The sequence below is a fragment of the Homo sapiens genome, chromosome 17, assembly GCF_000001405.40.
Source record: "Homo sapiens chromosome 17, GRCh38.p14 Primary Assembly".
Taxonomy (NCBI): Eukaryota; Metazoa; Chordata; class Mammalia; order Primates; family Hominidae; genus Homo; species Homo sapiens.
In genome coordinates, this window is record NC_000017.11 from 15,829,220 (window position 1) to 15,855,739 (window position 26,520).

Genomic DNA, 26,520 nt, shown 5'->3' on the forward strand with positions numbered 1-26,520 from the left:
TGTGATGTATTATTTTAGATTGAGGGGGTTCGTGTACAGGTTTGTTACATGGGTATATTGTGTCATGATGGGGCTTTGGCTTGTAGTGGACTGATCGCTGCGGGAACTTTGTTGTTAAACTGACCAGGGAACTTTCCTTTTATTTTAAGTGGAAAAAGATTATTCATACCTGAAGGAGATGTGTAATCACCAAGCAGAACAGCTAAACAGAACCAGCCTAAAGCTGCAAGAAGCATCATCAGAGAGTGATGCAGAGATCAAAGACATGAAAGAAACCATGTTTGCACTGGAAGATCAGGTGGAACAGCACTGGGTTATCAAGTTACACAGTACTCAACTTATCAGTGAGCTAAAAAATAAGTGGGGTCAAGCCCAGGTGAAATGTGGATTGGAAGTGAGTAGGACACTAAAGAACCCAGCAGCAGTGGGTGACTGTGGGAAGGTTTTTGACCGTGTGTTGGCTGGGGTTTATGAAGAGTCTTTCATTTGAGTGTGCTATAATCTCCCGGGAAGAATGTCACCTAAGAAACAATCATTAATCTCTTAAACTAAGTTGAAAACTGGATAACAGAAGAAAAGAGTAAGTAACATAAGTGACTGTGAAAAATAGCAAATGCTTTGTTGTTTGTTGTTGTTTTAGAGAGAGGGTCTCAGTCTGTTTCCCAGACTGGAGTGCAGTGGTATGACCATACTCACCACAGCCTCAAACTTGTGGGCTCAAGCGATTGTCCCAAATCAGTCTCCCAGAGCACTGGGATTACAGATGTGAATCACTGTACCCAGCCACAAATGTTTCTTGTCTGTGCTAGATGTGCTGTGTGTGAGCCATGCTGCTGCCACTGTCTCTGAGCAGCCTGATCGGCTTGGAGGCCACAAGTTGGGACACTTCAGCTGTGACTGTGTGAGAGTTCACAGGGACTTTTCCTAAGGACATTCTGTGGGGTAGGAATGGGTTATTCAGAAGAAATACCTTGCCAAGCATTGACACTGTGTTGTCACCAAGCATTGACAATGTGTTGTCTCTTGGAGCTGATAGAGTTGGATGATAGGTGTCAGAGTGGATGAAAAATGTGTGCTCTTGGTCTAAGGAAGAAAACAATTCCTGCATGTGTGCCATTGATGGTAGGATATCAAGTAACTTACAGATGTTGGCCACTTAGTTGCTGAAGAGGCATCATTATGTGGCTTATGAGCTCATTGTTTACTTTGACTTGGGAAAAGAAATTTTTAAAAGGGATTAAACGTTGCCTGCTTTGTCCAAATGAGCCTTATCAAATTATCACATCTAATGTGCTTCGCTTTTGTGACAAAAGACTTAATGGACATGGCCAGGTGTGGTGGCTCACGCCTGTAATCTTAGCACTTTGGGAGGTCGAGGTGGGTGGATCACCTGAGGTCAAGAGTTTGAGACCAACTTGGCCAACATGATGAAACCTTGTCTCTATTAAAAATACAAAAATTAGCCAGGTGAGGTGGCGGGTGCCTGTAATCCCAGCTACTTAGGAGGCTGAGGCAGGAGAATCACATGAACCCAGGAGGTGAAGGTTGCAGTGAGCTGAGATCACACCATTGCGCTCTAGCCTGGGCAACAGAGTGAAACTCTGCCTCAAAAAAAAAAAAAAAAAAAGGTTTAATGGGCAAAGCATTTAGGTCACACCAATCATTACTAAGAATAGCCTGGTCAGTTGCCTGAGAAGTTCCCCACACCGTGCAGTTGATCCTCCTTATTCACAGATTCACAGATTGCACATTTGTGAATTCACCTGCTTGCTAAAAATTTCTTTTTTTTTTAGATGGAGTTTTGCTCTTGTTGCCCAGGCTGGAGTGCAATGGTGCAATCTTGGCTCACCGGAGGTTATCCTGCCTCAGCCTCCCGAGTAGCTGGGATTACAGGCATGCGCCACCATGCCCGGCTAATTTTGTATTTTTTTAGTAGAGACGGAGTTTCTCCATGTTGGTCAGGCTGGTCTTGAACTCCCAACCTCAGGTGATCCACCCGCCTTGGCCTCCCAAAGTGCTGAGATTACAGGCATGAGCCACTGCGCCCAGCTGCTCAAATGTATTTTAACCCCCAAATCAACAGGCAGAGTACTTCCACTGAGTCATTTTTGTCATTTTTGGACATGCACAGAGAAGTGAAAACGTTGAGTCATCCAGTGCTTATGCTCCCCACTGAGGTCAGACAGACACTTTACCTTCTCATACTGTACATATGTCTTTTCCATGGTCTGTTTAGTACTGTGCTTTTAGCATTTTTTTGCGTGGTTTTGGTGACTTCGCTGTTTAAAATGGCCCCAAGTGCAGTGCTGCAGTGCTGCAGTGCTGTCCACTGTCCCTAAGCGCAGGGAGGCTGAGAGAGACCTGCAGAGAAGACACGTATGTTACGGAAGTTTCTTGAAGGCATGAGCTCCTGTGCTGTTAAGCCTGAGTTACTGAATCGACAACACAGTACATCAGAGAAAGGGAGAGGAAGTTCAACAATATGTATGTAAAGCTGCCCTGACATGCTAAAGGGACATCTGTAGAGTGTGATGCAGCTGTGGAAAAGATGGAAAAGCAGCCAAATTTATGGATTCATGAGAAGACGGCCAATTTTAAAAAGCAGTGGGCAACATTATTGTGAGACTGAAAACCAAAGACACGTACGTGCACATCATCTCAGGTCAGGAAAATATTAAATCCTTCTTGGTTAGTGCTGGTCGGCTCCTAGGTTTCGAAAGGCTGTAAGGTGTGAGAATGGTTAACGTTGCAGGCAAGGCAGGTTGTGCAGATCAGGAGACTGAGGAAAAATTTAAAAATACTTCCTCAGTGTTAGGAAGAAGGAAATGGGAAGAATGAGTTTCCACTGCTGATGAGACTTGCTTGTTTTATGGAGATATTGCCAGATGCAACTCTGTGCACGAACCTGAGAATTGACTGTGTATTCCAGATATTGATTAGTTGGTTAGAGTGAGAGTTGACAGCACCTGCCTCGTTTCTTCTTGAACATGACACGCAGTAGAACTGTGGAACCTCAGCATTCAGTGTCGGTGCCATCCAGGCTGTTCTCAGGATACAGCTGAAAACCTGGACACCATTATCATCAGTGTATCCTTCCAAACCCAGCACCATGATTGTGAAGAAAAGTCAAAGAAGACAAGTTCTGTTCTGTTTTGTTTTTGTTTTTGTGATATTTTGCTGTTGAGAATGGGGTTGTATTGTCCCTAAATCCTTAAAAGTCAGCACAGACACACCAAGAAAACCAGTGTATAATTAATGTCCACAGCAAAATTTAGGCCCACCCCTGTGGTTATATCATCATATATCCAGGACTGACAATAACCCAAGCCATCTTTTGAAAAGCTGTTAAACTTTTTAAAAGGATTTTGAAGTATTATTCAGATATCTTTTTGCTCAGAGACCCCGAGACACAGCCCTAGACCGATCACTCCTTCCCATGAGATCCTGATGGGAGAGAAATGGACTGAAAAATGAAAGGAAATTAGGGGGTGTTTTCTACTCAGCAGAATAATCCCAGACTCAGACTCCCAGGCCCACTAGAACTAGAACTGCTGGGGTAGGACCTGCCCACAAGCATCTTTTTAGCCTTCTCTGGTGATTCTGATTCACAGCCTTCATAGAAAACTGCTCTAGGTTAGAGCATGAGGACCTATTGAGGAATTTCAGCTTGGTGACTGACACCATCAGATTTAAACTCGAATGACTCTGATAGCCATATGGAGAGAATTGGAGGCGAGGAGAACGAAGGGTTGCAGGTGTCCTTAAGTAGGGAGAGGCAGGCAAGCCACCTGGGAAGATGTCAAATGCACACATCCTCGGGTTCTGTCTGCCCTTGGAGATTCTGCCTCCAGGTGTCTGGAGTGTGGACTAGAACATCAGTGCTTTTGAAAAGCTTCACCAATGATTCAGAGGCTTAACTGCCGTTGAGACCCACGACTCTGGAAAGTGCTTTACAAACCACAGGAGGAATAAGCAGTCATGTGCTCTGTTATGTGAAAGCCTCTATCTCACAGCAATAAAGGACACTCAGGATGATTGCGTGTGAGTGCGAGGGAGGCCGGGCTCGGTGTGCAAGTGTGTGTGGCCAAGGAGGCCTCTTCCCGTAGTGCTATTTGGTTGTGCATCCTGTCTGCTGAGACTGTAACCTCAATATGCACCATGTGTTTTTCAGATCATCGTGTTCCCTATTTTGGAGGAACTTGCTGCTTCCAGCCCCTCTTTGCAGGGTAAATTGAAATTGCTAAAAGTTGCATTTAGAGTAGAATGCATTTAGAGTAGATTTGAACACCTGCTGTGGCATGTGGAGCTGCCCCTTTGCTACCTGACTTATCTTCTCTCAAGAGTCTCACAACTCTTCCAAGGCCTGTCTGAATTGTCTATTTCTAGGTAATGTGATCAAGCTGGAGAAACAGAAGTCAGATCTGGGGAGGCAGCTAAAGACTCTGACTGAGCAGATACAGGGGAGATGTGGCAGGAGCCTTCACCACCATCTTCCTATAAATTACCCCTCCAAGGTCTGGATCACTCTCTCTATCCTGCTTTATCTTGGAACATTTTCATGACATGGGTCCTGAAACTGTAAGTTCTTGCCAGCAGGAAGTAAAATCAAAGCAGTCATTTGTTGTCAGGATGGAGAGCTCTCATAACCTGAAGGTGTAATTTCCACCAGTGCCTTTTCCTAGCAGCAAGACACCGTGAAAGCAGGGCCTCACTAAGCACTGCTGGCTGTTCTTTCTTGGTGACTGATACAGGGGCTCTGGAGTCTCTGCCCAGGCACCAGCCCTGGCAGGCATCTGACACAGGGTTGGGCTCTGGCATTTTCAGAAGAAGACCATGGAATGGAGGTGGTTCCAGCCGGATCTGCAGACTGCGGTGGCAGTGGCCAACAATGTCAAGTGAGAAGCCCAGCAGGAGCTGGGCACTGTGAAGAGGAAACTGCTGAACTGCTGGAGGAGAAGGAGAAGGAGGAGGAGAATGCCTGGCTGCAGAAGGAGCTGGGGGATGTGCAGGGCTGCGGCAGGGTGGTTTCCAGCAGAGCTGCCCCTCCGTGAGTCTAGTGGGCACCCAGGCCATGCTTGCTTTTCACTTAATTACTGTGCGTGGGGCTCCCTGGTAGGGATGAGACGCTTCATGTCTCTCTGTGCAAGGCTCTGCTGTTTCTTTTCTGGGATCAGTCTGCATTACCAGTGCTACCGCATCACTAGGAACATTCCATCCAGTGCCCAGTTTCTGCCATGCTTAGCAGCATAAGGGGCTGCTAAGCTTCTCACTTACATATGAAGGGCCAGTTCTAGCCAAGTATCCTGCTAGGCTTAAAGAATAGAAGTCCTGTCTAGGATGCTCCTTGAATCTTAGTATTTATTAGTGCAGGGAGTGCACACTGATAAATACGAACCCACCACCTTGCACAGGTCACTCCCATGCAGTGGGAGAAGCTGGAATCACTCCTGAGGGGAGGAGCCACCAAATAAGGACACATTCCTCCCGGCCCAGGGATGTGCCTACTTATTTGACAACACCCATGGGCTACTTCAACAGGCCTTGACATAACTCACTTTATTTTAAAAAGAGTGGAAAACATGCATTTGGCTGATGTATGACATTCCCCTCTGCTCTGGATGGGAAGAAACACATAGCCTATCAGCCCAGAGAGCTCTGCTAATAGTGACATTTAAGAGTATTTGGGACTACAGTTGCACCAGACAAGATCATTACTTTATAGCCGGACCTCTACCCTCTGGCCACCAAAGGATGTGGATTTTAGGAAAACTAGATTTTGCAGTGTTCCCTGTTGAAACAGCAGTGAGGGCATTCAGGGTGGCCTCTGTGTCTGCTGTTGTTTGTTTGCCTCTGTCTTGCTTCCCTATTGTCTGTCATTGGAAGAAGATCCCAGTCAGAACTTGTGTTGCTTCACATGGACGCTATTTTAATGATAAATGGTAAAAGGTAAGTCCTAAGTTTCCATGGTAGCCCTGAATAACCAGGTTCTTGTATGAGCTGCTGCATTTCTTATGTATACTGTGAGACACAGGCCATACCATGCAGTGTGAACCCTGGTATTCTAGGAAATCTCCGCATGCATCCTGGCAGTTTAGGACTCCCTATGCTGCATCCTGCATCTTCAGTCTTAACGTCATTGTTTTTTTAAACACAGAATTTTCTTTTTTGATTTTCCGGTGATTTGCAACATTACTTTCTCAATATAGCAGTTTAATCCCTTACCACAAAACAGTTCAAATTTTGGAACTGACACCAATGAGAACGTGTCATGGTACTGAAATCAGGCATCATGATGATTTTGCCTGCCATTGTGTTTGGCAGGAAGTCAGACAAGTGCCAGTGATGGTTTCTTGTCTGATTTTGCACTTCTCTGGCAAGCTGTCACCTCTGAAGAGTTGACTATTGGGTAATTACTCGCTCATGGCTCGGTCACTCCTGGAACCTACCCCATGAGCAAGAACTAAAACCAACTCACACCCTCCAAGCTCCCGAAGCCAGCCAGTGTTTCCATCTTGGCTGAATGAGTTCTTGATTGAAACTCAATTTGACTTTGGCAGTCATCTAATGAGAACTCAAAAGTCATCCTTGGTTCAGCCACAGCAAAATAACTTGCAGAACATTCTCTGATGAGATCTTCAAGTACAACTGAGAGAAGGTAAGAACACCCAAAAAGCACCTGGATCCTGACACGGGATTACCTGGTTCTTAAACTGTTTGCCCCCATGGGCACTCGCGGGGATGGTTGCAGCCATGCTGATAGGCATGAGATGAAGCACCCAGGCAGGAATGCAAATCAGCATTTATTGCCGGAACTCAGTGGCTACACAGTGGGATATTATCTAACTCATCAATGATCTTCAGCCCTGTTACACTTTCAAAAATATTTGTATTTCAGAGTTAGAATAAGTGATGTTAAGGTATATGGGGAAGGAAGGTGGTAGCCTCGTCTTTGCAGCCAACCAGCAGTATCTCATTCTCAGCCTCATCTTTGCAGCCAACTAGCAATATCTCATTCCCAGCCCCGTCTCCTGCCTCTGTTAAAAGAGGTGGGAAAAGTGAGTAGTTTTCAAGGTCCGTTTAAGCTCTGCTATTCTCTGGACTGGTTGTTCAGCTGACCTTTCCCTGGTGGGAGAGTCAGAAATTCCTGTGCCAGCCTTAGCATCTTTCTGATACAATCCTTTGAACCTCTTTGACACAGTGGTTTCCCCATTGTTGATGAGCAGTGCATGACACAAGGCTTCTCTAACAGCAGCGGGGAAAGACCTCTGCATTTACTGTGTTTGTTTATTTCTCTTGTTCTGAAACAGTAAATGCTGTTATTTCAGGGTGACTTACCTAATTCTTACAGTGTTTATATAACACCAGTAAACATCCATGGAAAACATCTTTAAAAGAGATCATTAAACACACTTAACATCTGTGCCTAATTAATGCTATTGGTATCTAAATAGAATGTCTGTGATTCGAATGTGTTTTGCCTGCACCACCAGTTCTTGGGTTGTCCCCTCTCGGAGGTGAGCACTGTGGCAGCACAGCATGTGCAGACTCCGCTGGAATTGGCTTAACTCCGTGTGTGCACATCAGTGTCAGCCCGAGCGTCGCTGCATGTGCCCGCACTGCCCTCTGTGTTGCTCTGATGGCTCTAATGGGTCACAGCCGCTCAGCACATGTTCTCTAGCTGCTGCAGAGAGGGGAAGGGCAGAAGTTGGAGGTATAGATTCTTGGGTCCCTAAGGTCCCTTTTCAAGCTCTCTCGCTGCAGATGCTCTGGTACCGACCCCCTGTCCCAGGTGGAGGGAGCCCATTCCGCTAAGGATTCCTAAACAGTTTCTGAACAGACTTCACCTTAGCACCCATGACGAACAGGGGCTTCTGGCATTTAATTTGGCCCTTAATGTAGAACCTGGTCCTCTGATATCCTCTTACTGTAGCCAGCCTTATCTGTTGACTCACATAGTACTTTTTTTTATAGTTTACATTTATGACATAGATACACAGTCTATAATTCTAAATAGCTGTGTCTGCCTCCCTATTCCCTAATCCGCATCTTTACAGATTTGAACGGTGTGGACATAAGCTTCTCTTAGGCCTTTAGGATTTTTAGGTTGAAATTATGAAAGAAAAAAAGTTTTTTGGCCTTGACAGTAGAGGGAAGCACAAGCCTCTCTGTAAATTCTGGAGGGGCCTGTGGTGTTCATCATGGGCATCTCTGCTTCACCACACAGTTCTTTGTTGGAGAAGTTCTGGTGGAGGAGCCTAGTACAGGCATTTGTAGTCTGACATTTTTTTTATGTCCGAAAACCTTTGGCTTCCAAAAAATTGGAGCAGTAGGAATTAAAACCCATTGGCCTATCCTGGACATTAGCTTGTCCCTGTAGGACAGTGTAAGCTGGAAATTCTTGCGTTTGTGAACTAAGACCGTGTTGCCTTAGGGTAACTCCTTTACAGCCTCTCCCTCCCCATTTCTATTTTCACCTCTCCGTGGGCTCTGTCAGCTAGCAGAGCATTTGGTGGAAGAAAGACAGCCCAGCTCTTCCCATGATTGGGAGCCACAGCCATCTCTGTATGAAAGGGGGAATGTGTAGAAGAGAAATTACCTCTTTATAAAGAGCCCAGGTGTCTCCTTGTGACATTCACTGTTTCTCGGAATCATTGCCTTTGAGTCTGCTTTTTGTCCACATTTTGGAATCAGCTCACTGCATGATCAAAGATGATCCTTCGCTTTTTTCTTTTTCTCAGAAGCTTCAGCAGTCTTTTATTTGGAGAATAAAATGAAGTTGTACTGAAAAAAGAAAGTACAGGTCTCATGAAGAAGAGTTATTTGCAGCTGGAATGTTGAGAGGGCACAGTGGCAGAGCAGATCTGAGTAATGCTTATTCCGAAGAAGTCAGAAAGTTTGGCTTCCTTCTGTGGGGTCTTGATTGTGCCTCTTTACACAGGGTCTGACTTCATTACCTCATCTGAAACTAAGTACCACTAAGCTTTGGTTTGATTTCCAGAATCTTGCTGGGCTAAACACAAGTAGATGTTTCGTTCATTGTTGGGAATAGGCCCCCAAAATCTGGCCATAAACTGGTCCCCAAACTGGCCATAAACAAAATCTCTGCAGCACTGTGACATGTTTGTGATGGCCATGACGCCCACGCTGAAGGTTGTGGGTTAACCGGAATGAGGACAAGGAACACCTGGCCCACCCAGGGCAGAAAACCGCTTAAAGGCGTTCTTAAACCACAAACAATAGCATGAGCGATCTGTTTAAGGAGAGCATGCTCCTGCTGCTGATAACTAGCCAGAGCCCATCCCTTTATTTCGGCACATCCCTTTGTTTCCCGTAAGGAATAGTCTTAGTTAATCTATAATCTATAGAAACAATGCTTATCACTGGCTTGCTGTCAGTAAATATGTGGGTAAATCTCTGTTTGAGGCTCTCAGCTCTGAAGGCTTGAGACCCCTGATTTCCCACTCCACACCTCTATGTTGCTGTGTGTGTCTTTAATTCCTCTAGTGCCACTGGGTTAGGGTCTCCCGACCAAGCTGGTCTCAGCAGTTGATCATAAAGGATGCTGTTAAGCCAGATAGGTAAGCATGGTGACAGTGGCAATAGAAATCTAATGGAAAACAGTTGAATGACAACTACACCAAAAGCCCCATGGGTGAAACTCAGCCTGGAAACTTAGTGTTCAACTCAGAGCGATCCACAATTTTATGTGGATTTTAAACTTCCAGAAATGTGATTTTAAACTTCCAGAAATACCTGTGTTTGTGAAGATCCAAATCCATTTCAGCAACCTCCATCAGGCAGAAACCTCCTGCAGTTCTCAGCATGGAGCTATTAGCTATCCAAAGGAAAGCTAGTATCTATTTTATCCAAAGGATGAGACAAGGCAAGAGTTACTGTCTAATAAAAGGAAAATTAGGAACAGGAGTGCTCTTTAAACTCAGGAAGATGTTTTGGGGTGTCAAACCAGACAGCACAGAATCACTAGAAACATTAGCTTGGTGTGAGAAGGAAGAGACATTGATATCTTCTGTGTAAAAATAAATACTTGCGAGTAGGACTGCAGATTCTGGGAGCTCTTTATCTCGTATTCAGAGTTGTTGGGATGATTTAAAACTCATTTGCTGGATGTTTTTAAATATAAACATTAAGAAAACTGCAACCTCAACTTAAAAGGCACCACTGTATTTGCAGCCCACATTTTGTCCTATCTTTACTCCAGGTACTGCTGAGTATTTTTATCTGTAAGCATTTGTAAAATGCTAAATAATGTTGTTATACAGAAGCTCGTCTGCTGCTTAAGGTTTTTTGTTTGTTTGTTTTTGTTTTTGTTTTTTTTGAGACGGAGTCTCCCTCTATCACCCAGGCTGGAGTGCAGTGGCGCAGTCTCAGCTCACTAACCTCCATCTCCCGGGTTCACGCCATTCTCTTGCCTCAGCCTCCTGAGTAGCTGGGACTACCGGTGCCCACCACCACACCCAGCTAATTTTTTATATTTTTAGTAGAGACGGAGTTTCACTGTGTTGGTCAGGATGGTGTGGATCTCCTGACCTTGTGATCTGTCTACCTCAGCCTCCCAGAGTGCTGGGATTACAGGCGTGAGCCACTGCGCCCGGCCTGCTGCTTGAGTTTTAATCACCAGCTATGTTTCTGCAGGCCCTTTATGTCATTTTGTTCTACATTTTTTCATGAATATAGTTTCAGAACTTCAAAGCCTCCTCAAATAATAGAATTTGAAGGAGAAACAAGCTGGACTTTAAATATAAGTTGTAGATAGAAGGTTGAGCTGGGATATGAATGATTTTATTATTAGAACAAGAGGACGTGGAGCAAAAACACTAGTTTTGCATAAATTAATTTTTTTTTTTTTTTTTTTTTTGAGACGGAGTCTCGCTCTGTCGCCCAGGCTGGAGTGCAGTGGCGGGATCTCGGCTCACTGCAAGCTCCGCCTCCCGGGTTCACGCCATTCTCCTGCCTCAGCCTCCCAAGTAGCTGGGACTACAGGCGCCTGCCACTACGCCCGGCTAATTTTTTGTATTTTTAGTAGAGACGGGGTTTCACCGTTTTAGCCGGGATGGTCTCGATCTCCTGACCTCGTGATCCGCCCGCCTCGGCCTCCCAAAGTGCTGGGATTACAGGCGTGAGCCACCGCGCCCGGCCATAAATTAATTTTTAAGCAAAACTGTAGAATCTCAGAAAATATAGTATGGACTTTTTAGTCTAGATGTGTCTTGTTGAAATTTAAAAATGAATAGATTGGTGAATTAATGTATTGGATTTTCTCCTAATTATGAAGTAATATTTAGGTATACTGGTAGCAAAATGGAGATGTGTCAAGAAAAATACTAATCTTTCTCCTCCTTCAGTACTCACCCTGCAAGGTAATCACTGGTAACAGTGTGTATATTTTTTGTTAATCATAAAATGTATAGGTTTCATTTATATATGTTTAAATATAAACAGGACTGTGTTCTACACAGTATGCTGCACCTTCACTTTTTATTTCATGTAACATGGGCATCCTTCCAGGTCAATACATACAAAGAGAACTCATTTTAAGAGCTGCATGGCCTTCCACAGGAGGGACGTGCCCTGGAATATTCAAATATTGTCTTACTAATGCCAGCAAGGTTATAGTTTTCTTTGTTATGAATAATGCTATAATACGAGTCCTTATTCATATAGTCCTATATAGTTGTGATTTTATTTTTATAGGATGAATTTCTAAAACTATGACTGCTGCTCTAGAGAATATACACATTTTTATCTTAATAGATGTCTCCAGGTTACTCACTTGACTGCTGTGACATTTCACTTTCTTTTTTTTGTTTGTTTTTTTTTTTGAGACGGAGTCTCGCTCTGTCACCCAGGCTGGAGTGCAGTGGCACGATCTTGGCTCACTGCAAGCTCCACCTCCCGGGTCCACACCATTCTCCTGCCTCAGCCTCCCGAGTAGCTGGAACTACAGGCGCCTGCCACCACGCCCGGCTAATTTTTTGTATTTTTTAGTAGAGACGGGGTTTCACCGTGTTAGCCAGGATGGTCTCGATCTCCTGACCTCGTGATCGGCCTGCCTTGGCCTCCCAAAGTGCTGGGATTACAGGCGTGAGCCACCGCACCTGGCCGACATTTCACTCTTGATGAACGTGCCCATCTCTGCATAGTCTGAGCAGCCACAGAAAGTGTTGATCTTATTTTTGCCAATAGGATAAGTGAAAAATACTATCTTATTAGATTTTAATTTGTATTTCTCTGAGCATATTTTTATGTGTACTAACCAATTGCACTTTCTCTTCTAGAGTTGCTAGTTTAGCACTTTTGCCTATTTTTTCACTGAGCTGATTGTTTCTTTCATCAGTTTATAAGTCAGTATTTTATTAGGGATGTCGGGGTTTTTTTGTTTCGTTTTGTTTTGGGGGGGTTGTTTTTTGTTGTTGTTGTTTTGAGACAGGGTCTTGCTTTGTCACCCAGGCTGGAGTGCAGTGGCACGATCACAGCTCACTGAAGCCTTGACCTCCCAGGCGCAAATGATCCTCCTACTCAGCCTCCCAAATAGCGGGGACTACAGGCGAACACCATGCCTTCCTAATTCGAATTTTTGTCCAGATGGGGTGTCACTTTATTGCCGAGGCTGGTCTTCAACTCCTGGGCTTGAGTGATCCTCCCACCTTAGTCTCCCAAATCACTGGAATTATAATTGTGAATCACTGTGCTTGCCCAAAGATGTGTTTTTATCCCCAGTGCACTACAGGCCTTTGGCTTTAACATCTGTATCATAGAAAAGTTTATATTTTTATATAATGTTAACTGTTAGTGTTTTCTTTTGTTATTTCTTTTTGTTTGTTTGAAGGTTTTCCCTCTCCAATCTTATTTGTTACAAATAAACTATTAAGTTTCATTCTCTGTTTTATGCACGTGCACACACAGACACACACACAGATACACACACACACAGGCGTTTGATCCACCTTTCTTTATTTAATCTGATGTGAGCTGTGCGTCTTTCTCTCCCGGTTAGATAGCTGGTCATGCCAGCACTATTACCAGAACCATCCTTTGTCCACTGAATTGAAATCCCACCTTTACATGATTCATTTCATCTGCATTCGGAGAGAACTGCCCTAAGTATGCCCCCATTTCTTTTTCTTTTGAGTTAGATCTGCTTTAAAATATTAATGAGTTATTAGATTGCTTATATTATTTTTAACTCACCTTTCATTTTAAATTGTCATCTTTAATTTATGTCTTCTTATTTTATTGAATTTTAAGGTAGATACTATCAGTGTCAAATTGTTTCTGGTCATGAATTTACAAACGTTGGTCCTCTCTTGAGTGCAGTTTCCCCTTCACTTTGTATTATGAAATATTTGCATTGGCTGGGCATCATGGCTCATGCCTGTAATCCCAGCACTCTGGGAGGCCTAGGTGGGTGAATCACCTGAGGTCAGGAGTTCGAGACCAGCCTGGCCAAAATGGTGAAACTCCGTCTTTACTTAAAAAAATACAAAAATTACCTGGGCGTAGTGGCACGTTCCTGTAATCCCAGCTACTTGGGAGGCTGAGGCTGGAGAATCTCTTGAACCCAGGTGGAGGTTGCAGTGAGCTTAGATTGTGCCACTGCACTCCAGCCTGGGCGACAGAGTTAGACTGTATCACAAAAAAATAAAATAAAATAATAAAAATTTAAAAAAGAAATATTTGCATCAAGCAGGGCATTATTTTGTTCATCACCTTCTCTTGCTGAAGCAGATCCAGGTGTGGCAGGGCGTGACATTTGGCCCAGGTCAGTGTCTGGATCCTGCTCAGTTCCACTGCCTTTACCTGACAGTGCTTAGGATCTTATGACTGAAACGCGTTGGAAGGCTCTTGAAGGTGCATATATATTACATATTGAAAGATACAGAAGCTCAGGTAGGGTAGAAAAGGGTGAGTGCCTAACGGGGAAATTCACCTGTGCCCAGTTTGTTCTCTGCTTGGTGAGCCTGGAATACAGAGCCAACTCTCTGGGTCTACATTTGCGTGCCCCTCGTCCATTTTAGATGCACGCCATGGCTTTTCCTGCCCTGTCCCTTGTCACTACTGTCCTTTGTGTCTGGGGTAAACCAACCTTGGCCTCCTCAGATGTAAATTCCTCTTGTTCCCGATCCTTTGCCAGAACGCCCTGCATCTCTCTGGGCTTCTCGTGCTCCTCACCAGCCCTGGCCTTCTAGGGTGGGGGACATTAGTGGAGGGTTTCCCTGATCTCCATTTTCTTTGGAAGGGATTTGGGGGAAAGCTCTTGGTATTTTATTTTAATTTCCCCCCCACCACATACTCTCTATTAGCAGAAATTCTTCAAAGTGTAGGCTTGTAGATGATACCTGACTACAAGATTTTTACTGTTTCTTTGATTCTTTTTGTTCAGATTTGTAGATGAAGATGCTTATGTTCAAATTGCCATCTTATCCTGTTTGATTTTGTTGTTGAATATGCTTATATTGAAATTTGAAAGTGAAATTCAGAAGATACTGTTTTGACATCTGGAGAGAGAGTACTTCATAATTTCTGTCTCACAATAGAGGGACAAACTTCTCTTAGATTCTTTTTGTGTAAAACAATAAGAAGTATTTAGAGAAAATTACGCTCCAGGCAAGGGCATAGAATGAGCAAAGGCACAGAGGCAGGACATAAAAGAAAAAAAACTTCAGGTGGCTGGGTGTATAGTCCAAAAACTAGATGGGTAGAGGGGACTCATGGGAGATCAATTGAAAGGCCTGGGGCTGGGCTTCATCCAGGTGTTCAGGAAAGATCCCAGCAGGCATGAGCATGTGGTTGGCACAACCTGCCCTCTTCACAAATATTAATCTGCCAGTTGTGAAGGTAGCAGTGGTGCCATGCAACGCTTCCCAAATGGAGTTACCCTTGAATACTTAAAAAATCATCATGGGCTGGGCATGGTGGCTCACGCCTGTAATCCCAGCATTTTGGGAGGCCAAGGTGGATGAATCACTTAATGTGATGAGTTCAAGACCAGCCTGGCCAACATGGCAAAACCCTGTTTCTACTGAACATTAAAAAAAAAATCTTGTATAGGAGCTCACCTGTGCCTGGATCAGAATAAACAACGTAAAGTGGTGTCTTGAGGAAGTAAAAGCTATAGACAATCACTGGCAATTGAAGACTCTGTTCTCTAATATAACAAAGAAAGCAACAAATTAGAGAGGTTAAATAAAAGTTTTAAAGGGAAATAATTACAGACATATATGTATGTGGTCTTAAATGACAAGGTAAGACGTAGAAGGCAGACCAGCGTTCAGTGAGGAGGGCCGTGCACCTTGTTGTGCTCTGTGGAGACGCTGCCTGCTTATAGGGTGCGTGCGTGTCACCTGCTGTGTGTGACACACCATCAGAAAGTCTGGCCTCCAAATGTTATTCACAGGTATGGGTTGCCACCTTGTAAGAACAGATTATTGTACAAAAATAGGAATGTTGAAAGAAATATTGGGAATGTTTTTTCTTAAATATTATTATATTTTAAGAAGAAATACCATCAGCATTATTTTTGGAACCGTGTATACCTCTTACAGAACACTTGTGCACAACAGAAAATTTGAGAAAGGCCTGGCCAGAGCTGGATTTGCATCCCAGATTTACCATTCATGAACCATGTGACCATCATCAAATTTTCCTCTAAAATAAGAGATAATGTGTGGAGGTTTTGTGGAAAATTAAATTAGATAACATTTTTAAGACACATGGTACTGTGCCTGTCATATACAGTGGAGTTATACTGTATTAGTTTGTTCTCACTTTGCTATAAAGAACTACTTTGAGGCTGGGCACAGTGGCTCATGCCTGTAATTCCAGCACTTTGGGAGGCCAAGGCAGGAGAGTCACTTGATGTCAGGAATTCAAGACCAGCCTGGCAAACGTGACAAAACCCCATCTCTACTAAACATACAAAAATTAGCCAGGCATGATGGCATGCACCTGTAATCCCAGCTACTTGGGAGGCTGAGGCAGGGGAATCGCTGGAATCTGGGAGGCAGAGGTTGCAGTGAGCTGAGATTGCCCCACTGTATTCCAGCCTGGGAGACAGAGCAAGACTTAGTCTCAAAAAAAAAAAAAAAAATTGAATTACCTGAGACTGGGTATTTTATAAAGAAAAAAGGTTTAATTGCCAGGCACAGTGACTCACACTTGTAATTCCAGCACTTTGGGAGGCTGAGGCAGGCAGATCACAAGGTCAAGAGATCGAGATCATCCTGGCTAACACGATGAAACTCCGTCTCTGCTAAAAATACAAAAATATTAGCCGGGCATGGTGGCGGGTGCCTGTAGTCCCAGCTACTCAGGAGGCTGAGGCAGGAGAATGGCATGAACCCGGGAGGCAGAGCTTGCAGTGAGCCAAGATCACTCCATTGCACCCCAGCCTGGGCAACAGAGCCAAGACTCCATCTCAAAAAAAAAAAAAAAAAGGTTTAATTGACTCACAGTTCTACAGGTCACACAGGAAGCATGGCTAGGGAGGCATCAGGAAACTTACAATCATGGTGGAAGGTGAAGGGGATGCAGGTACATATTCACATGGCTGGCAGGAGAGAGAGTGAATGAAGCAGGAGGTGCTACATACTTTCAAGCAACCAGATCCCTTGAGAACTCTTATCGCAAGACAGCACTAGGAGGACGGTGCTAAACCGTTAGAAACTGCCCCCATGAGCCAGTCACCTCTCACTGGGCCCCACCTCCAACAATGGGAATTACAATTCAACATGAGATTTGGGTGGGGACACAGAACCAAACCATATTATGTATGTATATTTGTTTCAGTGAAATTTTCTGTTATTAACATAGTTTTATATTCTGGGGACAAGCAGAACACATGCTTCATTTTGTTGTGTTAAATGTAGCCCCTAAACACAAAGCAACTATTTCATCAGTGATGTAACTAAAGAAAGAGCCAAACTCAGTGGCTCATGCATGTAATCCCAGCACTTTGGGAAGCTGAGGCAGAGGTATCGCTTGAGTCCAGGAGTTCAAGAACATCCTGGGCAACGTGGTGAAAACTCATCTCTTAAAAAAAAAATTAGCCAAGTGTGGTGGTGCACATCTCTAGTCCCAGCTACTCTGGAGGCTGAAGTGGGAGAATCACTTGAGCCTGGGAGATTGAGGCTGCAGTGAGCCGAGGTGTTGCCACTACACTCCAGCCTGAGTGATCCACCTCGGCCTCCCAAAGTGCTGGGATTACAGGTGTGAGCCACCAGGCCTGGACACTAATAGTATTCTTTTTTTATTTTTATTTTTATTTTTTATTTTGAGACAGAGTCTCGCTCAGTCACCCAGGCTGGAGTGGGAGTAATCTCCACTCACTGCAACCTCTGCCTTCCGGGTTCACGTGATTGTCCTGCTTCAGCTTTCCAGGTAGCTGGGATTACAGATGTGTGCCATCACTCACACCGGGCTAATTTTTGTATTTTTAGTAGAGACGGGGTTTTATTCTGTTGGTCAGGCTGGTCTCGAACTCCTAACCTCAAGTGATCCACCCGCCTCGGCCTCCCAAAGTGCTGGGATTACAGACATGAGCCACCATGCCCAGCCACTAATAGCATTCTTAATAACGATTTTCTTTGGTTATTCAGTTCAGGCTTTGTTTTGTGAATGCCTCCTACACACATACACCTACACATACACATACACACACACACACACACACACACACACACACACACACACAATTATATAACATGGTGAGTATTTAGTGAGTATTTCTCTAATCTGCTTAAATGATGCAGGGCTTTCTCATACTGACTCGTATTGTTCTAGCCAAGCAGACTGAGCATTTGAAATAACATTTTAGGATGCCCAAAGACAGGGGTACTGGAAATTAATTCTTGTGGCCTTGCTTTTTTCTTATACACTCTGAATGAGTCTATTTATCATTCAATATTTTGAATTGCAGAGAAACTTAGATAACTGAAAGGAATACCTCAGCAGAATGTAGGCTTCTCTATTTTGTTCTTATTAAATTATCAAAGAAGAAAATGAACATGAGTTATTTAAAATGATTGTCCTTGGAGGCCTTTGGGACCAAGTCATTTAAATGGACTGATAAGAAGGTGGCCCGTTTTGTGTCTTGATGACCTTCCTGAGAATGGCTGGCACAGACAGAGATTTTTTTCTCCTCAGACCTAACCTGATTTCATTCTGTTTCTGCATATTTGCCAACCTGATTTTATTCTGTGTAACATAAAGGGGAAAATGTGAAAACCAGTTCCTGTCAGTAAACCTTTAAAAATTATTTAAAAACCCAACCCCTTACAGTTTGTTAAGTTCCTAATGGTTTCTTCCAATGAAGTTTTCAGTTTACTGATTTTTTTTCCACTCAGAAGAAGGGGCTGTGAAGTCAAGAGTGTAAGACAGCGTGGGTTAACTGTTTTAAGTTCTGTTTCTGTGAAATGTATTCTATTCATGTTTACAGAGCAACAGAGGAAAGCTTAGAGAATTAAGTACACCGTAAATTCAACCACAGAAGCTTATGAGTAGCTAGATTAACTTCAAAACAATCAGTAAATAAATATTTTAAACTTCCACTGACCTTTTTAAAAATCTACTTCCAGATACGTTGTTTGAACTATTCTCATAAATTAGTCATCTTGCAAAACAGCTGTGACAATATGATGTAATGAAGAGAGCAATGATTTAGCAGTCAGAAGGCTGGGAGTCCTTGTCTTGGCTCATTCACAGGGAGATCACATGACATGCCAAAGTCCCCTAGATAAGGGAGCCATACATGAGAGGATTGAGGATTGGGTCAATGATCTATCATAAAAGACTTTCTGTGAGTCTGTGCTTACACTTAGAAACCTCACAAAGAACACACCAGGGAATTTGGGTGAGAGCAGGAGCTTCAGCTCATGCAGAATGCAGTGTTATTTTAGAGTTGTGTTGCGACTCTTAGGCTTAGAAGACAGAATGTCTGAGTCAGGATTCTGTTGTGTATAATGGATTGCACTCTCGTTGGCTTAGACGGAAAAGCGTTAAATGGCTTGCAGAATTGTTGGGAGGGCTGAGCTTCCAGGAGCAGCTCCCAAAGTCTCCACACAGAATTGGACCACCAGGGAACCTGCTCCCTCCACCAGGACAGGAGCCTTAACTTCAGAAAGCTGCCCACCCAGTTGGAAAGGTGCCACCACAGTTACCAGCACCAGAAGCATCTTGTCTCTGCTACAGTCTCTGTGCACATAGTGAACGCCCTGTGCCCTGCCTCTCTCCCCCTGACTCAGGTGCCACTCCGGGTCTCGCTCAAGTCTTTCTGATGATGGAACTTAAATCACGCCCAAAATCCCAGCTGCAGGAGAGCTCTGAGATTTCATCTTTCCAGCCTCTGTGTGCCACGTGGGGTTTGGAGCATTTGCCAACAAGCCAATCCACTGCATTCACCATTGACAATAAGCAAAATGTTTATGATCAGTAACATTTGCATTTTTTCACAATTTGCAGCATACAGACTTCTTAATTAGAGCTAATGTCAAGTCATTCTACATATAAAAATATCATTTTTGACCGTTTCTCAAGAAACAGCTTTTTAAAAAATCAAGAGCAATGCCTACATTATTTCCTGATGCAAAGCTGGTAGAGAAAATAGGATGTTAAATTTAGAATTTCCCTTCCAGCTTTGTTTATTTTCTCCACATCAGCTCTGTTTTCCTCTGTGTCTTTTTCTCCCATGGGGACGTCTTCCACCTTTTCAGTTTGATTTGACCTTTGCCGTGCAGACCTGTGGATGAAGAGCCAGAGTCCCCCAAGGTCGATGCTGCTGGCCAGTGGCCTGGTGTGTGTGTTAACAGAACATCTCCAACGCCCTCAGAGCCCATGACCACCATAAGTCACTCATCAAGTCATTTGACTTGGGATGCCCTGGTATTTAATCATTTTTTTCTATAAGCAAAGTTCCACATTCAAACTTTGGCCCGACATATCAAACGTTTCTTGACTGTACCCTGGCCCCACGTTGTTAACAACCACAAGGGCACTTTCCAGGTACTACCACATGGAGCCGCTGCAGGCAGGAGCCTGGCCCAGGCTCCGGGGAGGCACTGATGGAGAGCCTGACTCATGAGTAACACAAAAGCAGCCTCTTCCTCTCTACCTCTTCCTCCTCTCCAGTTCCTGCCTTGCCTCATTTCTTTTCTGCCTCTCATAGCCATTAAATTCAGGTCACTACTATTTGCCATTTTCTTATTTCATGAGAAATAGCACGGTCAGCCAGAGGCTTCATCTCCAAGGAAACCAGGCATCACAACTGTGCACCTGACCCTTTTGTAGGCACCCTTGGCCATCCCCATCTTGCAGCCTGCTAGACATTTTTCTACCTGGTCTTGTATGTGAGCACCTGTGTTGATCTGTCACTTCTGATCTTGGTGTGCTCCCAGGTTTCCTGGAATTTTCTGATAGACTCACAATACCCCTTTAGTCATGTTTATCTTCATGTATGAGAAAGATGCATAGCTATACTTCATACATATACTGTACACATAAAGATAGCAAATAGAAGAAACAATATGCATCTGTCCACTGTAACAGTATCTTTCTTCCTGGACTTCAATGAACATGCCATTGTATTGAAAGACTCTAGTAGGGTGGGCGCGGTGGCTCACGCCTGTAATCCCAGCACTTTGGGAGGCCGAGGCGGGCAGATCACGAGATCAGGAGATTGAGACCATCCTGGCTAACATGGTGAAACCCCGTCTCTACTAAAAATACAAAAAATTAGCTGGGCATGGTGGTGGGTGCCTGTAGTCCCAGCTGCTCAGGAGGCTGAGGCAGGAGGATGGCATGAACCGGGAGGTGGAACTTGCAGTGAGCCGAGATCGCCCCACTTCACTCCAGCCTGGGCAACAGAGCAACACTCTGTCTCAAAAAAAAAAAAAAAAAGGCTGTAGTAAAAATTAATCCTAGAATGTACCCGGTTATTATCTCTGCTAAAATAGTTTGCAATTAAATTAAATGAAGATTAAACTACACATATTGAAAGACATGAAAGCCCAGTGAGTGAGTCAGTGAAAATGGGAAATGAATTAACAGTCACAGTTTGTGCAAGAACTTTCCTGTTCCTTCCTCCCCTAGGCACCTCATTATTTAAACATATTCGTTTTACTCAGTTGTCCTACATCTAGGACTGGCCTCCACTCAGCTAACTCCTCCTCCCCTCTCATTTCTCCAATTCAGCTCTAGTCCAGAGGAGAAAAGAATAATAAATATCACACTAAACACCATGGAATACTTCTCAAGTCACCAAAGAGGTAAATCAAAAAGTATTATTTGCTATTTTGAACTGGAACAACATGTAAATGTTCCCATCTCTTTTCTTGGCAGATGGAACTGGACAGAATACTTCTGTCCATAAGGCCCTTAGAAGCCCCCTAAGCGAAATACCAATGAGGACCTCCCCAGCAGCTGCTGTCTCTCCTGCCAGGTAGATGAGCCCCAGGAATAACCACTGCTTATGGTTTGTTGTATATCCCTCTAGATGTTTTTCTTTATACATATGTGTGTGTGTGTGTGTCTGTGTCTGTGTGTGTAGAGAGAGGGTGTGTGTTGTGTAAATTGGATTATACTACACGTTAGTCCAACACTTACTCATTTCACTTTATCATTGGAATGTGAGCTCCGTGAGGACCAAGATTTTTGTTTATTTTGCTTGCTAACACATCTTTTGTCGGTAACAGGGAGTGAAACATGGTCACATCATGATAGAAGCTCAACAAATATTTGTTGAATGAATAAAGGAATATGTCTGAGACATCTTTACATTGCAACATTTGGAGAAATGATTCCTTTTTGTAAAGGTTATATAATACACATCAATTTATATAGCCATACTTCTACTGATAGATTTTAGGTTACTTGGGGTAAACAATAAAGTGAAGATCCTTATGCAATTTTTTGACCACTAAAGGGGCTATTTCTGCATAAGGGTGGATCAAGATTCATTTGCAAATATGAGAGATCACTGTAGTTAAGCAGAAAGGGATTTAATCCAGGGCATTTGGTACTGGAAGGGCTGGAGAAGGCAGTAGGCTCTGTCCACTGAGCTTCCAGGAAGGGTTCCCAGAGCATCTCAATGCTGGTCCAGTAAAGGAGCTTCTGTTCCTGCCAGAATCAGGAAGTCTTTCTGTAGGTACATGCCCAGGTCCACCACTGCTGCCAAGATCTAGGATCAGCCTTGGGACCACACAGCCACAGGTGCAGTCCATGCCAGCACACCATGCTCTGTGCCTGCCTCATACTGCCCAGAAGATGATGGAACAGACCTAAGAATCTCCACTTCCCTGCCACAGAACAGCAAATGCCTTCCCAGCCATGCTTGCCAGGAGAAGCTGCAGAAGGGCAGCTTTCTACTCCCTGTACCTTCCACGTCCTCTGAGAAGGGGCCTGTTTGACAGAAACTAGGCCACTTAATAAGCCAAGCTTTAAGGACTTTGGCAAATACACCCCTTAGCTTTCCAGTCTCATATAAGTCAGTAAATCACCCTTCAAAGAGACAAGGATGGAATCAAGTGAGCCTGTCCTGAGATCTTCCACACATTGATTCCTAGAAAAGGAAAATGGAGTCCTAGAAAAGGAAGTGTATTTGACCTGTCCTGGCACGTTGAAAAACTTGATAGACACATTGCCCTCAGTTTACCCTCCCACTCATACCATGCAAGGTACTGTTTTCCCAGAATTTTCACACTCTATAAATTTTAAAGATTAAGTAAATGAACAATAATAACTTGATTTACTTTGTCCTTCAGTAAGGTTGAGCACTTCGTATGTTTACAGACGGTTTATTTTTTATATGTGTGAATGAAAACTTACATACTTTGCCTGTATTTATTTTGAGGTATTAGTCTTTTTCCTATTTGTAAGAAATCTTGATATATTGTGCTTTTTAGCTTTTTTATATGTAATGCTATTATTTTCTTTGAACTTTCTTTGAAGTTATATTTTACTGAAGAAAAATGTTGCATCTTGTATTCAGTGCTTTCCTTTATGATTTTAAGTGTTTTGTTTCCTACCTTAAAAAGACCTTTCTAGCTATTAGATTATGAAAATATTCTTCCTTAACATCTTAAAGAAGTCTTTTATTTGTTCAGTCTTAAAACCCATAGAAACATGGGTTTGAATTTAAGTGATCTTTCCCTATCTTAACTGACTTCTGGACTCAGAAATAAATACTCTTTGAAGGAAGATTACATCATCCAGAACCTCAACTTATAGCCACATTAAAAAAATATATGGTGTCATAGTCAATTTAAAAAATACTAAGTATACAAATAGATAATACCAAATGATGAAAAAAACAAGAGAAAACTAGGCAACAGAAACAGACACAGGAGATCCAGATATTAGACACGGACTTTAAAACAACTGAGATTAATCCAGTAAAGAAAATAAGTAACAAGGTGGATAATTTCAGCAGAAAACCACAATCTATAAAAAAGAATCCATTAGAAATGTTGTAACTTAAAAATAAAATGCCTAAATTTAAGACTCAACAAAGTTTACCTGTAGATTAAACATTTTCAGAGAGGCTTAAGGAACTAAAGACAAGTTGATAGAAATATCTGAACTGAAGCGCAGAGAAAACAAAGAATAGGAAATAGAGAAAAGGACATAAGAGCTACATGGGATGGGGTGAAAAGATCTAATGTGTAATTGGAGTCCCCAAAAGGGAAAACAAGAAAAACAAGACAGATAGGGCAGAAGCAGTATTGGAAGAGATAATGGCCAAGAATTTTGAAAACTAAACAGATGTTAAGCCCTAGATTCAAGAACAACATGAACCGAAAGCAAAGTAAGTGCAAAGAAAACCACCTAGACACATTAGGCTAAAACTGCTAGTAATGAAAGAGAAAGCATCGTAAAAGCACTCAAAGGGAAAAAAGAAACCTTAATATCAAAGGAGCAAGAGCTAAAACTGACATCTGCCTTCTCAACAAAAATGATGGAAGCCAGAAGACAATGCAGTGGCGTCTGCAAAATGCAGAAGGAATGCCTGCTTTCCTAGAATACCGTACTTGGTGAAAATACCCTTCAAAGGTGAACACAAAAGGAAGATGCTTTCAGTACAACAAAAACAGATTTCTTTTTTACCAGTGTACTTGTGATGAAAAGATTATCTTAAAAAGTTCTGCATGAAGTTTGTTCTTTTAAAAGATTATTAAAATTGATGAACCTCTGACAAGGCTGATATAAAGAAAAGGTATAAATTAGCTATATCAGGAATTTTTAAAGGGGTGTATCACTAAAGATCCCATAATTATGAAAACAGTGATGAGGAGATTACAGATTAGTGCTCTGTATAGTACTACTCTATAAATTAGAAAATGTTGATGAGATGGTCAAAATCTTAGAAAAACATCACTTACTAAACTGACATAAAAAGTAGTAGGAAATCCTGATAGTCTGTAATTTAAATAATTTTCTCAAAGGAAATGCCAGGAGGCCCAGATGGTTTCATCATGAAATCTCCCAAACATTTAAGGAAGAAATAACACCAATCTTATATATATTCATACAGAGACTAGAAAAAGACTAGAAAAAAAGGTAAACTTTCTTAGATCATTTAAGAGGCCAGTGTATCTTCGATACCTAATTCTTGCAAGGACATTAAAAGACAGGAAAATTAAAAGGTCAGTGTCTCTCATGAACCTCCATGCAAAAATCCAGAACAAAATCTTGGAAAACCTAATTCAGAGATACATTTATTTATTTATTTACTTATTTATTTTTGAGACGGAGTTTCACTCTTGTTGCCCAGGCTGGAGTGCAATGGCACGATCCTGGCTCACCGCAACCTCCGCCTCCCAAGTTCAAGTGATTGTCCTGCCTCAGCCTCCCAAGTAGCTGGTATTACAGCCATGCACCACCACGCCTGGCTAATTTTGTATTTTTAGTGGAGGCGGGGTTTCTCCATGTGGGTCAGGCTGGTCTCGAACTCCTGACCTCAGGTGATCTGCCCACCTTGACCTCCCAAAGTGCTGGGATTACAGGCGTGAGCCACCGCGCCTGGCCTCAGAGATACATTTAAAAGATCATGTTAAATTGGGTTTATTCGAGGAATGCAAGGTGGTTTTAACTACTGAAACCAACCACAGTTAATTTACCACATTAACAAAGGTATATAAAAAGTATAGTCATCTTAGTAGATGATAGGAAAATATGTTCAGTAAAGATTAATACCTTTCTTAATGAAAAGTCTTAGAAAACTAGGAATAGAAGGGCAATTCCTTAATCTGATGAAGGGTCTCTATTATATATCTACATCATACGTCATACTTAATGGTGAAATATTGGACGCTTTCCCACAAGATTATGAATGAGATAGGAATGCCCCATATTGTCACTTTTGTTCAGCTCATTTCAAAAGCAAGATATAAAACTACTTTTGAAAACTGTATACCATTATATTTATGTGAGACATGGATACATGGAATTGTGTTTAATGCGATGTGGAGTAGGACCTCTAAGGGAAAGAATGCTTTGGAAAACCTCACAATGGCCCTCCTCACTCATGTGCACAGACAGATGTACCAGGATATTCGTTTCCTAATGCTTATATCAATATCAATGCCAGTATTAACAGAGAATCGATCAAATAAATTATGGTAATGAAAATAGCTAAAATCTACTGAATGTCTACTATGTACCAGGCCATGTTTTGATTGTTCTAACTGGATTTAACTCTTTTTTTTTTTTTTTTCTTTTTGAGACGGAGTTTTGCTCGTTGCCCTGGCTAGAGTGCAATGGCACCATCTTGGCCCACTGCAACCTCCACCTCCTGGGTTCAAGCAATTCTCCTGCCTCAGCCTCCCAAGTAGCTGGGATTACAGGTCTGCACCACCAGACCCGGCTAATTCTATATTTTTTTAGTAGAGATGGGATTTTACCATGTTGGCCAGGCTGCTCTTGAACTCCTGACCTCAAGTGATCCACCCGCCTCGGCCTCCCAAAGTGCTGGGATTACAGGCATGAGCCACCACACCCGACCAGATTTAACTCATTTAATCCCCCCCAACAATCCTCTGGGGTAGGTACTATTTATATCAGTGCCATTTTATAGATAAAGAAAATGAAGCACAGAGGATGAAGTAACCCAGAGTTGTGCAGCTGGTTGGTGGCTATGTGGCCCCAGAGCCCTGTGCTTGGCCTCTTGTGTAACACTTCCCATGAGAAGCCACCAAAAAGGTAGATAGAGAATGACCAGTAAGTGAAAGAAGCAAAACGGTATGCAAAGCAATGGAATCCTGTGATAACATTTGTGTTTTTAGAATAACAGAGGGTTTTTCTTCAAGGGTTTTCCTTGAATAATATCACTCTCACCTGCATTCTGAAATGCTTTTTTTTAATGGTGGTAAAACAAATACACCATGAAAACTACCCTCTTAACAAATTTTTAAGTACGGTTAACTATAAGCACAATGTTGTACAGCAGATCTCCAGAAACTTTTTCTAAAATTTCAACTTTATTTCAGATTCAGGGTACATGTGCAGGTTTGT

At 42.8% G+C, this 26,520-nt stretch overlaps 1 protein-coding gene, 1 long non-coding RNA gene and 1 pseudogene across 3 annotated transcripts in view, besides 4 other annotated features; 2 read left to right on the forward strand and 1 right to left on the reverse strand.

Moving 5' to 3' along the window:
• Nucleotides 149-5,047, forward strand: SPECC1P1 (SPECC1 pseudogene 1; annotated as a pseudogene).
• LOC105371557 (uncharacterized) lies at nt 2,293-18,659 on the reverse strand. 2 transcript variants are annotated; one of them, XR_934263.3, is made up of 4 exons: nt 18,572-18,659; nt 15,078-15,166; nt 8,597-8,781; nt 2,293-2,361 (listed from the first exon to the last, which is right to left on the reverse strand). It is a non-coding gene; the product is annotated as an uncharacterized LOC105371557 (long non-coding RNA). The 2 variants fall into 2 exon arrangements; XR_934262.3 differs by lacking the exon at nt 15,078-15,166.
• Nucleotides 14,528-15,675: a meiotic recombination region, noted in NCBI's record as "meiotic double-strand break mapped by DNA meiotic recombinase 1 chromatin immunoprecipitation followed by single-stranded DNA enrichment and sequencing in the germ cells of some male individuals with PRDM9 A/A, PRDM9 A/B, and PRDM9 A/C genotypes". NCBI's record gives the evidence for it as "EXISTENCE:chromatin immunoprecipitation-seq evidence [ECO:0000229][PMID:25395542]".
• Nucleotides 14,578-15,103: a non allelic homologous recombination region, noted in NCBI's record as "LCR17pA recombination region, recombines with the LCR17pD recombination region". NCBI's record gives the evidence for it as "EXISTENCE:fluorescence in situ hybridization evidence [ECO:0001047][PMID:12649807]" and "EXISTENCE:restriction fragment detection evidence [ECO:0001124][PMID:15148657]".
• Nucleotides 14,923-15,055: a mobile genetic element, noted in NCBI's record as "direction; forward".
• Nucleotides 14,965-14,977: a nucleotide motif, noted in NCBI's record as "nucleotide motif; similarity to the predicted 13-mer PRDM9 A binding motif (LD hotspot motif), CCNCCNTNNCCNC".
• Nucleotides 18,660-21,142: 2,483 nt separating the features above from the next.
• ADORA2B (adenosine A2b receptor) overlaps nt 21,143-26,520 on the forward strand; it is a 125,385-nt gene continuing 120,007 nt past the window's right edge. Inside the window, exons 1-2 of the mRNA XM_047435373.1 lie at nt 21,143-21,278; nt 21,352-21,451. The gene's annotated coding sequence lies outside the window, so the exon portion shown is untranslated. The remainder of the gene's footprint in view (nt 21,279-21,351; nt 21,452-26,520) is intronic.